The sequence below is a fragment of the Homo sapiens genome, chromosome 9 (assembly GCF_000001405.40).
Source record: "Homo sapiens chromosome 9, GRCh38.p14 Primary Assembly".
Taxonomy (NCBI): Eukaryota; Metazoa; Chordata; class Mammalia; order Primates; family Hominidae; genus Homo; species Homo sapiens.
In genome coordinates, this window is record NC_000009.12 from 71,947,798 (window position 1) to 71,962,304 (window position 14,507).

The following is a 14,507-nucleotide window of genomic DNA, read 5'->3' on the forward strand; positions in this document are numbered from 1 at the left end:
CATGCCTGGCTAATTTTTTTGTATTTTTAGTAGAGACGGGGTTTTGCCATGTTGGCCAGGCTGGCCTCAAACTCCTGACCTCAGGTGATCTGCCCGCCTAGGCCTCCCAAAGTGCTGGGATTACAGGCATGAACCACCGCGCCCAGACTTAACTCTTGTGTAATTCTGGGGTTCTCTTATATCAGCCTTCTGTGCATCCTCTACAGCTCCCTGACATCCTTCAGCTCAGCTGTGTAAGGACAATATTGGAGAGTAATTGCTGCATGAAAGAGAAAAGTGATTATCTTAAATAAAAATTAGCATTGTTCCTTTTACATTATAAGATTTAATTTGGTAATCTATATAGTAGCTATTTAGACTATATTTGCTCTCTGTTGCCTTATTTTTCTGACTATTCAATAGTTTCATCATCTTTGAATGCATTCCTTCTTCCTTTATGGGAAAAAATTTTGCTTACAGTTTAGAAAATCAGTCTAAATAATAGATACAATATGACCTTTGTTTATATCTACTAAAAAATTATGACAGCCTTTTGCAAATCTGAAACTTAAGATATAAAATAATTTGTTTACTTCAAAATATTTGAACACTGAAAGGCAAAAGTGTTAAGGAAGGATAAACTAACTTAAGCTTTTTAGATTTTTTTTTCTGTACTCCGTTTTGGAGCAGTCTAGTATTTATTACAGGTATAGTTGACCCCCCTTTTGTTTTATTTTATTTATTTATTTATTTAATTTATTTTGAGATAGGGTCTCACTGTGTCACCTAGGCTGCAGTGCAGTGACATAATCTTAGATCACTGCAACCTCCGCCTCCCAGGTTCAAGCAATTCTCCTACCTCAGCCTCCTGAGTAGCTGGGACTACAGGTACATACCACCATGCCTGGCTAATTTTTGTATTTTTTTGGTAGAAACAAGATTTCACTGTGCTGGCCAGGCCGGTCTCAAACTCCTGACCTGAAGTGATCCACCCACCTCAGCCTCCCAAAGTGCTGGGATTACAGGCGTGAGCCACGCCCCCCCCCCCCCCTTTAAATAGTTTTACCAGCTTCTTGCTCCTTTTAGTCTTTTCTTCCTCTAGCATTTCCTCCCAAAAGAAAACACTCTTAAACAAGTCTGATGAGTTTTATGCTTAGTGGCCCAAATTAGCAGTAAGGAAATTTGGCAACTATTTGCATTACCCAATTTTAGATTTCCATGAATGAATTGTGTTCTCTGCTAGAGTAATTAGATGTTGATTGCAAAATAAATCATGTAGTTTTAGTTAATAGGCCTCATACAAGATTTGTAGCTTTCTGAATATTTTCAACAAGTTTTTATTCCTATAAAGGTATTTTAAGATTTCATGATCCATCTCCATTTTCTCTTTATAGTGTTGTTTCCTAAAAGAATTTGAAGTGTAGGCAATAAACAACATTTATGTAGTCACAGCATTTTAATAGATTAGTGCTGTGTAACAAAGGAAATGATTTAAAAACATTCCTGCCTTATCCATCATCAGTATTTAAATCTCTTACCTTTAATATGTGCTAAATCCTATATGTTTATCTTCATTTTAAATGTGTCAGTGTGTAAAAAAGATCACATCAGTTATTGTAAATTTTCCAGATGCTATATTTTGCTGTAGAACTTCTGAACTTATGTATTTTGTTTTCTCGCGACAGAGCAAGACTCCATCTCCAAAAAAAAAGAAACTGCTAGTTAAAACAAGATCTTGTAGAGGAGGAAAAAAGTCCTTTCCTTCTACCAGTCTAAGTTCTCACCCTTGGCTCTCTAACAAAAACCAGATTAAGAAGAGAAAAATATACAGATTTATTTAATGTAAGCTTTTTGTGACACCAAAGCCTTCATAAGGAAACAAAGACCCAAAGAAATGGGTAAACCTGTGTGGTTTTATGCTAGGTTTGATGGGAGTGGAAAATCATGGGGAAAATGTGATAGGGGATAAAAACAAAGGGCTAAGCATAGTAAACTAAATGAGCTAAGGGTAGTAAACTAAACAGCAGGGCTTGTTCATTCAGATTCCTCTTACTGTTCCTCTGTTTTTAGAGATAAGCATGGTCCTTTCCTCTAGGTATAGGAAGGGCACCTCTCATATAAGGGTCTTATGGCCTACTTCAGGGGTGGATCAGAGAGTCCTTCCTACATTTGCTGTTTGTCACATTTCTTCAGCTCAAAATACTCAGTATGCCAAAGCGCCATATTTTGGGGTAGCATGTTCTGAATCCCATCAGTCTAAACATATTACTTAGGAGGTTACTTGCCTGGCCTAGAACATCATGTATTTCAGAAGGTCCTGAACACATGGCACATTAGACATACTGGAAAGCCTAGCTTTCAAACTCCAATCCAGGATTGAGAGTGTTATAGAAAGTAAAACTCACTTATATTCATTCACTTCACTTTCTCTGCATATTAAGACTTGACCAACATTGTAAGGGATTTGAATCCATTGCTTATGCTGATGGTAGCATTACTTAAAATGTTTAATGTTTTGTTCAAGCTAATCACTTATGAATTAGATTTGTCATTTGTTAGGGTTTGTATATGAATTTTACTGGATATACCTTTTGTCTTTGTTTTTTTTTGAGGCAGAGTCTCACCCTGTTGCCCAGGCTAGAATGCAATGGTACGGTCTCAGCTCACTGCAGCCTCTGCCTCCTGGGTTCAAGCGATTCTTCTGCCTCAGCCTCTGGAGTAGCTGGGACTACAGGCACACACATGCCACTGTGCCCGGCTAATTTTTGTATTTTTAGTAGAGACAGAGTTTCACCATGTTGGCCAGGCTGATCTTGAACTCTTGACCTCATGATCCACCTGCCTCGGCTTCCCAAAGTGCTGGAATTATAGGCATGAGTCACCACACCCAGCCTTGGATATATCTTTTGTATAAAGATTTATTTTTCTGCCATGCTGAGTATTTCCATCAGTTAAAATGTTGAATATTGTTTCATGTGTCTATCTATTGCCACAAATTGTGTAACTAAATGATGTAGATAAAGAAAAGTTCTGCACAACATAAAATACAGGGCATGGTGGGGCTTTTTATAAGTGACATTTCTTTTAGAAGTAATAATATCCTGGATATTGGGAAAATTAAAACTTTTTCTCCCATTTGTTTACCTTGTGAATCACCAAAAACCGCGTGTTAATTAGCAAATTTCCATTTGTTCGTGCGATCCAATGCCAAAAGTTAAATCAAAGAAAAAGAGTTTGACCTATAAACTCTTCAGACTTACCTGTTTCAACCATGGGAAACAAAAATTTTACTGCGTTCGTAGCTGACAGAATATTGCATGTTTCTCTTTTTCTTTTTTCAGTGAGGTGACATGCTGCAGTATTTTTATAAACATGTTCTTTATGGAATTTTCTCTCAGTTACTGAATACAATCCTGGACCATCTCCAGAGACTTTTTAGAAAAGAATAAATGTCCTAACTTAAGTTGGAAGAGAGATGAATTGAAAATTATGTATGTACTGAAGGAGGATAGGATGATGGCTATGAAAGATGAGGGGATAAAAAGCATCTCACTTATCAGCGATACATAAACAGTGTGACAGTGGTACTGTCCTTTGACGTAATGAGATAAATATCTCTGACTACTCAAAGCTTTAGGTCTTTATAGGAATAAAGTGATAAGCTCATAAAGATAAAGCACCAAGACCAGCCACCACCCTTAATTAGAAGTCAGCACAATCTGTACCAAGATCCTCCTACCCATTTCTTAAGGCCAGTACCTACTACTCCCTGCGGGAGGGCTGCAATGGTGCTGTCAGTATCTCCCTTGACACAGGATGGCATAAGCATTGTTAGACTTGAAAAAGAGGGTTCAGACTTTAAGATTATTCATATATATAAGAATTAGGGTTCAGGAAAAGTCTAAATCTTTTTGTATAAAGTTTTATTTTTCAAGTGCCTTGTTTTTTACTTTTGAAAAAGAACCCCAAAATAAATGAAAACCATTCATTACCATTCCTGGTCAATCCCAAGTCATTCATGAACCTGTAAATAATCTCGATATGGAGCTGAATTGTTGGAGAAACAAGAGATCTTATAAATATAAAACAATCCCAGTCAGTAATGCCTATGAAAAAAATAAACGTAAAAATATATTAAATAATTTGTATAAATCTTAAGGAAGGAATCTTGATATTTTTATACTTAAAAGTCATTATAGACATTTATATATTTTTCAAGGTACTAGAAATATAAATGTTTAAAAGATTTTGTCCCTTTCCTCAAGCAGTGCAAGGCCAGATGAAATTAGTTATTTTCTTTATTCTGGGCTCAGAAGGATTATACTTCTTACCAAGACAAAAGTAAAGCAGATGGAGGTAAGATTCAAATGCAAATTGATTGGATTCCAAAGCCTTGTTTTCCTTTTCTCTCAGTGATTTCTCAGCATTGTATTATTCAATTCAAAAAGTCCTTTTCTCCTCTTCACCTGGACCTAATGCTTCATTAATTTTTACAAATATCACCTATCTTGTTTATGGACATTGTCTGCTGTTGAGTACCACATATCCTGCTGAGGACCACCTTGCTTTTATTTATTTATTTATTTATTTATTCATTCTATTTTTTGAGACGGAGTCTCGCTCTGTCGCCCAGGCTGTAGTGCAGTGGCACGATGTCAGCTCACTGCAAGCTCCGCCTCCTGGGTTCACACAATTCTCCTGCCTCAGCCTCCCGAGTAGCTGGGACTACAGACGCCCACCACCACACCCGGCTAATTTTTTTTGTATTTTTAGTAGAGACGGGGTTTCACCGTGTTAGCCAGGATGGTCACCTCGTGACCTCGTGATCCGCCCACCTCAGCCTCCCCAAGTGCTGGGATTACAGGCATGAGCCACCATGCCTGGCCCAGCCTGCCTTTATTTTTTAATACATATACTTGTGGAAAGATAATTGGATTTTGCTTTCAGGCCCTGAAATGCCTATGCTGGTACCTAGAAACCTTTTTTGACTTTTATTTCAGGTAACCAAGCAACCTTTTCTCCTATTAATTTAGAAATGTGGCAGACGAATACCCCCATTTATGTGAGAATCTCGAGCCTGCTTTTCTCTACCTATTAAAAAAAAAAAATCACCAGCATTATAATGTTAGCCAATGTTTAACCTTGCCATAGTAGTAGAAAAGAAAAGAGAAGCTGGTATAAAACAGCACAGTCCTCAAACAGATTGGGGTCTGAGCTTGGAACTGGACCTGTGAATTCTTTACATCTGTGGTTCTCAGTTAAGGAGGTGGCTTGAGGATGGAGTTTGTCCCCAGGAAGGGTGCTACTGACACACAGTGTAAAGAGACCAGGGATGCTGCTAAACATCCCACAGTTCACAAGACGGCCCGCCACAATAAAGAAACACCCAGCTCAACATGTCAAGAGTGTCTTGGTTGAGAAGCCTTGCTCTGTACCGAATAGATAGATACTCACAAAGCCAAGGCACTGAAACATCCTGTATCTTAGTTCAGTGGTTTTCAAACTTTTCAGCTGTCAAATTCTTTAATAAAACGCTTATCCAGGAGTCCCATGAATACAACAGGCTAAAACAGAACTGCCCTAAATGAGGAGAAGGGAGCCCAGACCTTACAAGCTGTGTGATAAATGTTCACTGAAAGAAGATTTCATCATAAAAATATTTCAAGTGAAGGAGGAAAAAGCTAATATAACCTGCCTTGGAACCAGCATTACTCTAGAGATGTCTGGCCTGAGAGTTTCATGTCATGAGGATGCTTTATTCCTTAAAAAACTGTTTCCTTTTCATTAAATATTTTAATTGAACAGAGTCACTCTTCTGGCCCTCACATCCAGGTATTTAACCCCACCAGATTTATTGCCTCTCAACTTTTGTTCCCACTGATTGCCCAAGTGTACCCCTTACCTATTCATACTTCATTGCATTGAATAAGTAAATTCTCCTCTTTTAAATTGATCGTTGCATCTCATCTCACCTCTACTCAGATACCTCTGTGGCTTCAGAGTTGACTAAACCAGTGGTTTAAAAAAAAGTGGGGGAGGGAGGCAGGCACAGTCGCTCACACCTGTAATCCCAGCACTTTGAGAAGCTAAGGCAGGAGGATCACTTGATTCTAGGAGTTTGAGACTAGCCTGGGCAACATAGCAAGACCTCATATCTACAAATAATTTTAAAAATTAGCCAGGCATGCTGACGCGCACCTGTGGTCCTAGCTGCTCGGGAGACTGAGGCAGGAGACTGAGGCTGGAAGATCACTTGAGCCTGGGCAGTCAAGGCAGCAGTGAGCTGTGATCACACCACTGCACTCTGGCCTGGGTGACAGAGCAAGACCCCAGCTTGGAAAAAAAAAAAAAAAAGCGTATTTTACATAAGTTGAGTCAAGGGCTCCAGTGGTGATGGGTGGGACTCTAGCAGCAGGAGGCTAAGAGAGCTTTGTCAGCAGAGAAGTTCTGCTTTTATATGTGTACTATAATGTGAGAGTTGGCTGGGGGGATTGGTTGGTCGGGGGGAGGGGGTCCTCTAGACTGTAGGGAAAAAGGTGTTACTGTTTGGGAGAAAATGAGATGGGGGACTGAGATGTTGCCAAATAGGTTATGTTACAGGACAGGGGTCCCAATCCAGACCCCAAGAGAGGGTTCTTGGATCTCGTGAAAGCAAGTTTATTAAGAAAGTAGAAGAATAAAAGAACAGCTACTCCACAGACAGAGCAGAGCCGAGGGCTGCTGGTTGCCCATTTTTATGGTTATTTCTTGATGATATGCTAAACAAGGGGTGGATTATTCATGTCTTTGCTTTTTAGACCATGTAGGTTAGTTTCCTGACATTGCCATGGCATTTGTAAACTGTAATGGTGCTGGTGGGAGTGTAGCGGTGAGGACAACCAGAGGACATTCTAGTGGCCATCTTGGTTTTGGTGGGTTTTAGCCAGCTTCTTTACTGCAACCTGTTTTATCAGCAGGTCTTTATGACCTGTATTTTGTGCTAATCTCCTATCTTATTCTGTGACTTAGAATGTCTTAATAACCATCTGGGAATGCAGCCCAGTAGGTCTCAGCTTCATTTTACCCAGCTCCTATTCAAGATGGAGTTGCTCTGGTTCACACACCTCTGACAGTTATGCCACCATAAGGCTGCCTTCCTAACCGTGTGCTTGCTCCCTCTTTGCTACAAAGCTTTCTTGTAACTAAATTAGCCAAACCAAGACGTTAAAGATAATATTTTATTAACCAACCCCTTTCCTTTTTTTAGCCTCTATTTTTAAAGGGAAGAATTTCTATACCCCTAAAATGTTGCTTAATAGAGTATCACTGTCCTCATTTTTCAATGAAGACAAATTAGTGGACAGAGAGATATATTGGCCAGTTTATGGTTAAATTCATGATAGTTTCTTGCACTCAGTCCTTGGCATTGTATTATTGTATGTGTCTATCAATTGGCATTCATTACTTATATTTGTTCATTGAGTAAGCACTCAAGGAAACCAGAGTCTCCTTAAACTAGTTGTAATCACAATTTTGATAGGTTATGTTAAAAGAAAACTTTAGACAAATTAAATTTAACAGAGTTTAATTGAGCAAAGAATGAAGAATCAGGCACCTCCCAGAACCAGAGTAGTTTCAGAGCAACTCTCAGGGCTGCCATGTGCTTCAATAACGGTTTTGGACAGAAAAAGGGAAGTGACCTTTTTCTGTCCAAAACTGTCCAAAGGTCATTTTCCTTTTTCTGTCCAAAACTGAAGTACATAAACAGCTGGATTGGTTACAGCTTGGCATTTGCCTTATTTGAACCTACTTTGAACAATTGGCTGACTATGGTTGGCTGAGACTTGGTTACTGTTACAATAGTAGGTTACAGTCAGTTTACACATCAAGTTATGTTACAGTTCAGTATATAGAGAGAAACCTTTAGGCCAAACTTAAAATATGTACCCAGGCAGCTTTAGGCCAAATTTAATTTATCAGTAGATTCCATCTGTAGCCATCCAAGCTGTACTTGTTCTCAGTGCTTAGAAACTGAGCATACCACTCACTAGGAGGTACCTGAGGAATAATGTATGCTATATGCAGTGATCAGTACAAAGTGAGTCCTTGATCTCCATGCAATCTGAATTTGTAGCATCTGAATGGAGACCTATGATTTAAATGGCTAATTTTTATAGTCCGTATGTTTTAACCACTTTGACTTGCCTCCATTTTGATATATTTGTAGTCAATGAAAAGGAAAAATAAATGGATACAAATCCATTTAGTTTACAAATAAATACATTTGTAGTCAAGGAAAAATAAATGGATTTTTTAGTGCATTACTATGAAAGAATTTTTACATGTTTTTTCTTCTTTAAAGAATATGTTTATTTCAGGACATCTGAACATTATATGCCTTATTGTAGAATCTTCTAATAAAACAACTGTTTACATGCTAATAAGCATTGGGTATCACAATTGGTAATAGGAAGGGGAATGCAAAAGTTTTTTTTTTTTTTTTTTTTTTTTTGAGACAGAATTTCGCTCTTGTTGCCCAGGCTGGAGTGTAATGCGCGATCTTGGCTCGCCACAACCTCCACCTCCCAGGTTCAACTGATTCTCCTGCCTCAGCCTCCCAAGTAGCTGGGATCACAGGCATGCACCACCACGCTCAGCTAATTTTGTATTTTTAGTAGAGACGGGGTTTCTTCATGTTGGTCAGGCTGGTCTCAAACTCCTGACCTCAGGTGATCTGCCCGCCTCAGCCTCCCAGAGTGCTGGAATTACAGGTGTGGACCACTGCACCCGGCCCACAAAAGCTTTATATTTTATAATACAGTTTTAGCGTCCCAAATTCCAAATCCAAAATGTCCTAAAATCTGAAACTTTTTGAGTGCCAACATAATGCTCAAAGGCTATGTTTATAGGAGCATTTCAGATTTCAGATTTTTGGATTTGGAATGCTCAACTCTTAGTATTAGCAAATATTTCAAAACCTGGGGGAAAAAAAAATCTGAACACTTCTCACCCCAAATATTTTAGATAAGGGATTCTCAGTCTATACTAGGGTCATAGCCAGAGAAGAGTCTTTGACTTGCTCATATTTTCTAAAGAGAAATAGCTAAAGAGAAATGAACAAAGTTAAGTGCCTTCATGATAGAATATATGACAAGAAGAAACAGTATAGAATGTAAAAGGTCTTGGTTAAAATTGAGTGTTTAATTTGTGTGTTTATTCCCTGAAGACTGACTTTTTTTTTTTTTAAGTAGACACGAGGTTTCACCATGTTGGCCAGGCTGAACTCGAACTCCTGACCTCTGCCAGCCTTGGCCTCCCAAAGTGCTGGGATTACAGTCATGAGCTACAGCACCGGCCAAGACTGACTTTCTATAGTTTTATGTTTACCACTTAAACTAACATAGCAATGTGATTATTTATCCAGTTGATAGATTATCAAGCCCCTTCACATCCTGCCCCAAATTTCACCCATTATTTTTGTTATTAATTTAGGGTATCAGACTAAGTGGAAATAGAAGATGAAGTTCATATCAGTTGTATTCATTACATTTTAAAGATTTATTGGCTAAGACAGAAGAATTGGTATTTTTAAGCATTGAGTTAAATTTTGCACCAAACTCCAGGTGAAATCTCAGTCAATTTCATTGAAATAAGTAATTATTAAATATCATATTACTCAGTGAAAAACTGATTACTTACTGCTGCAAAGAACATAATAAATTAGGAAGGAAAATTTGTTCTAAAATACAACAGGAGAAAGATATTAAATGATTAAAACTTCATTGTTAGCCTGTTCCTCTCTTTAGATGAGTGTGTACCTATGTGTAGTTTATTTGAAAAATCAGGTAAGTTTGTGATGGCAGAGGTTATTAAGATGAAGATAGTCAAAACATAAATGCTATTTTCCAGAATCCAAGCACAATTAAAAGATAGTAAATACTTCAACAGTAGTCCAGGTCTTTTCTTTCTCCTTCCTCCCCATTCCTCATAAACACGGTAAAGATCTACTATAAATAGCTGAGAAAACCCCTGCAGTTGTGTATGTTTTTCCCACCATGAGCCATGATACAGCATCACTTCCACAAATAAGGATTAGGAATGGCATTGCAGAGAATATGTCTTAGATCAATAAAATCCTTATTAGTAAGAATTGGGATGTAGAAGTAGCTTTGGTATTATAGAACCTTTACTGGTATTTTGGAAGTGCAGTCTTTGTACTATTTAAGGTCTGAATGATGTATCCTTTCTAGTGGAATTTTAAGTGTAAAAGGTTGAAACCAGAACAGTTAAGTCCCTTAAAACTAGAAATCATACTCTATTGGTGGGAATTTTGAGAATTATTGCTGGAATTCTTCAGAGAATGTTCAGGAAGCTGGTGTTGTTTGGGGAAATAGGGTAAATGGAAAGGAAAAGATCCCAAGTACTTCAAGCTGGCCTAAGGAGGTAATTGAAGGTAATTAAAATATATATATATATTATATATATATTTTTTATATTTTTATATATATAAATTTTTTTTTTTTTGAGACGGAGTTTCGCTCTTGTTGCCCAGACTGGAGTGCAATGGCATGATCTCTGCTCACCGCAACCTCTGCCTCCCGGGTTCAAGCCATTCTCCAGCCTCAGCCTCCTGAGTAGCTGGGAATGCAGGCATGCGCCACCACGACCAGCTAATTTTGTATTTTTAGTAGAGACAGGGTTTCTACATGTTGGTCAGGCTGGTCTCGAACTCTTGACCTCAGGTGATCCGCCCGCCTCAGCCTCCCAAAGTGCTGGGATTACAGACGTGAGCTACCGCGCCCGGCCAGTAATTAAAATATTTTACCCTGAAAATATATTTCTTTGATGTATTTTGAAATGGCTGCCACTTCACCATCCTGACAAAAGTGGCCTTGCAAAGCTGTCTTAAGTAGGGAAAATTGGTATCCGTATAGAATCTCCATTAATGCAGTCATACCCCCTCCCCTTTCTCTTTCTTTCCCCAGATCCAGGAGAGACTGAGAGCAGGACACCTTTAAAAGTCTCTCTGAGGGAGGCTCCTCTACATAACCAGGCCACTTTTGCTGGCCAAACCTCTTCCCTGCTCTGCTTTACCAGAATCTAAGCCCCCATTCTTTCTATAACCTCAAGATATTATATAAGTTTCTGAAACTGTTGAGAACTTGGATCTTCATTCTGAAGGCTCCTGTGTATGCACATTAAGTAAATTTATAGCCTTTTCTCCTATTAGTCAATCCACCTCTTGTCAATTATTTTTAACAAAACTTTAAGAGGCCAAGGGCCAATGGCTGCCACATCATATATATTATATATTTTAACCCCAGAATTTGAATTCAGAGTGGACAAATAAGATATTTATTTTAAATTTAACATTTTCTTCTTTTTTTTTTTTCTTTTTTGGGACAGAGTTTCACTCTTATTGCCCAGGCTGGAGTACAATGGCACGATCTCGGCTCACTGCAACCTCTGCCTCCCAGGTTCAAATGATTCTCCTGCCTCAGCCTCCCGAGTAGCTGGGATTACAGGCACGCCCCACCATGCCCGGCTAATTTTGTATTTTTAGTAGAGACAGGGTTTCTCCATGTTGGTCAGGCTGGTCTCAAACTCCCGACCTCAGATGATCCGCCTGCCTCAGCCTCCCAAAGTGCTGGGATTACAGGCGTGAGCCACTGTGTCCGGCCAAAGTTAACATTTTCAAACCTCTGTCACATATGTTGGATTCTAATAACAACCCTGTAGAGGTAGCAAGAACAGATAAGGAGGTAGCCTTAGAAAAATTAGGTGTCTTACTCTGTAAGCTAGTAAACAGTATACTCAAAACTAGCATCTAGATTTTTTAAAGTTTCATAATCTATTTCTGGCTTTTATTTTAATGTCAGGTCCCTAACTTAAGTAGAGTTTTCCTTTATAGAACCAAAATAATACCTGTTAGAACACCTTGTCTTGTGTAACCAGGTCTGCTGTTACCTGCAAGAACCAAGAAGCTGGACTGGATGTGAAAGATAATTTACTATAATTCACGTGTTGTATTAAGAACAAAATTGTCTCTAGGAACAGTCCATGGTTATATTGGGGAATAATATTCCAATCAGAGCTCTTAATTTCTGAGCAAAAGCAAGATTGTTAAAGATGACAGATAGGAAACTGCGTTCAATTTGCAATTATTTTAAATAGCATCCTCAATGTACAAGACACTGTGTTGTATGTCAAAAGAAGATAGCAAATGAATCTGTGACGCCCAGGAATTTACCATCTATTTGGAGAGAGAGACTCCACAGATAATTCTGGGCAGTTTGCAAAAAGTGCTAGGTGTGAGTAAAAGGAGAAAGAGATGCAGAGGACACAAGGTAAGGCTGCAGAAAAATGAAATGAAACCCAGAGAGACAGGTCTAGAAAAAACTTAAAGGTAGAAGAGTGGTATGAATAATCACAGTGATAGGAAACCCTGTGAGGAGGGACCAGGGAATGGAGGGAAAATGAACAAGAATCCTGTTGACTTTCATAGACAATACAGATAATCCCGGGCTGTCTTTATATGTCCTGTTTTTTTGTTCCACATAAATTATCATTTCTTCATTCATTTGCTCTTGTTACTTTTTCTTTTTTCTCATTGCATAACTTTTGGTGATCCATGAACAGTAATCAAAGTTGCCTATCAAAAGGAGGTTTCAGTCTATTTTGAATATACATTAAATGAAAAGAAAACTAAACTTGGAAAGTTGGCTTAGGGTCTGGATTTCTAGTTTTTAAAAACTGGGTTATTATTTTTGTTATTTTATCAAACAAAAGTAAACAGTTACATTTTACAGGTCTTTTTTGTCTGTTTTTGTTTTTTGAGACAGAGTCTCTCTCTGTCACCCAGGCTGGAGTGCAGTGGGGCGATCTCAGCTTACTGCAACCTCTGCCTCAGCCTCCTGAGTAGCTGGGAATTCAGGCGCCTGCCACCATGCCTGGCTAATTTTTGTATTTTTAATAGAGATGGGGTTTCATCATGTTGGCCAGGCTGGTCTCAAACTCCTAACCTCAAGTGATCTGCCACAAAGTGCTGGGATTACAGGCGCAAGCCACCACACCCGGCCATATTCTACATATCTATCTGTTCCTTCATGTTTACCAGTGTGTGGCAATGCACATTGGCCGTTTTTCAGTTCCAAATTGTTTTTTTTTTTTTTTTGAGACGGAGTTTTGCTCTTTTTGCCCAAGTTGGAGAAAAGTGACACAATCTTGGCTCACCACAACTTCTGCCTCCCGGGATCAAGTGATTCTCCTGCCTCAGCCTCCCGAGTACCTGGGATTACAGGCATGCGCCACCACACCCGGCTATTTTTGTATTTTCAGTAGAGACGGGATTTCTCCATGTTGGTCAGGCTGGTCTCAAACTCCGGACCTCAGGTGATCCGCCCACCTCGGTCTCCCAGAGTGCTGGGATTTACAGGTGTAAGCCACCACGCCTGGCCTCCAGCATTTCTTATAACAGGCTGAGGCTCTGAAGGTTAATTAGTGATTTGAAAATTGGGTCACCACGGCCAGGCGCAGTGGCTCACACCTGTTATCCCAGCACTTTGGGAGGCCAAGGCGGGTGGATCATGAGGTCAGAAGTTCGAGACCAGCCTGGCCAACATAAGTGAAACCCTGTCTCTACTAAAAATACAAAAATTAGCCGGGCATGGTGGCATGCACCTGTAGTCCCAGCTACCAGGGAGGCTAAGGCAGGAGAATCGCTTGAACCTGGGAGGCTGAGGTTGTGGTGAGCTGAGATCGCGCCACTGCACTCCAGCCTGGGCAACAAAGTAAGACTCCGCCTCAAAAACAAAAAAATTGTGTCACCACATTCCAAGAGTATTAAAATGTTCTAGAGTGGAGTTTTAGTCATTGATAGCTCTTTGTATCACATGATAGTATAAAATAACTGTAAACTGTGGCTGTATTGTCGTTTGTTGCCCACAACCATGGTCTTACTGTCTTTAAAGGTGAAAGCAGTAGAGAGCTTTTATTACTTCCTTCAATGCCTCTCCAGTTCATGAGGACTCCAGTTCATGCTTTGATTTAAAATTGCCTGCCCTAAAGTATTGAATAATTTTTATTTTTTATTTTTCATAAACTACACTTGGTCAGAGGTAAATATTTTGTACCCGTTATGAATTATGGGCTGTAAACCCAGTATTTTGGGAGGCCGAGGCTGGAGGATGCCTTGAGCCCAAAAGTGCTAGACCAACTTGGGCAACATAGTGAGACCCTGTCACTACAAAAAATAGAAAAAATTAGCTAGGCGTGGTGACGTGCTCCTGTAGTTCCAGCTATTCTGGAGGCTGAGGTGCAAGGATTGTTTAAGCCTGGGAAGTTGAGGCTTCAATGAGCTGTGATTGCACTACTGTACTCCAGCCTGGGCGACAGAGTGAGACCCTGTCTCAAAAAATAAAATTAAGAATTATTGTAATCTACTTGTCTACTGCATTAAGACAAGGTAGTATATATAGCCTCTTCATTTACTTTCAAACTTGTAATCTAGGGACACAAGGAAGTGAACTGTGTAATAAGTTCTTATACTC

At 39.3% G+C, this 14,507-nt stretch overlaps 1 protein-coding gene across 11 annotated transcripts in view, besides 1 other annotated feature; it reads left to right on the forward strand.

The window, feature by feature from the left end:
- The window catches only part of C9orf85 (chromosome 9 open reading frame 85), a 74,420-nt gene that overhangs the window by 36,159 nt on the left and 23,754 nt on the right, over window positions 1–14,507 (forward strand). Inside the window, exons 3-4 of one of the 11 annotated variants that reach the window (XR_007061245.1) lie at window positions 1,665–1,821; window positions 4,248–4,335. The exons of 7 other annotated variants lie outside the window; for them this stretch is intronic. Coding sequence is in view for 3 of the 4 variants with exons in the window: in XM_047422767.1 (XP_047278723.1) it covers window positions 4,245–4,335 (91 nt within the window). In the remaining variant the exon portion in view is untranslated. 3 more of the 11 variants (XM_047422767.1, XM_047422768.1, XM_047422769.1) reach the window with 3 other exon arrangements.
- Window positions 5,698–6,344: an enhancer, noted in NCBI's record as "H3K27ac-H3K4me1 hESC enhancer chr9:74568411-74569057 (GRCh37/hg19 assembly coordinates)". NCBI's record gives its function as "activates a minimal SCP1, AML or CMV promoter by ChIP-STARR-seq in primed H9 embryonic stem cells {active_cell/tissue: H9 hESC(primed)}" and the evidence as "EXISTENCE:reporter gene assay evidence [ECO:0000049][PMID:30033119]".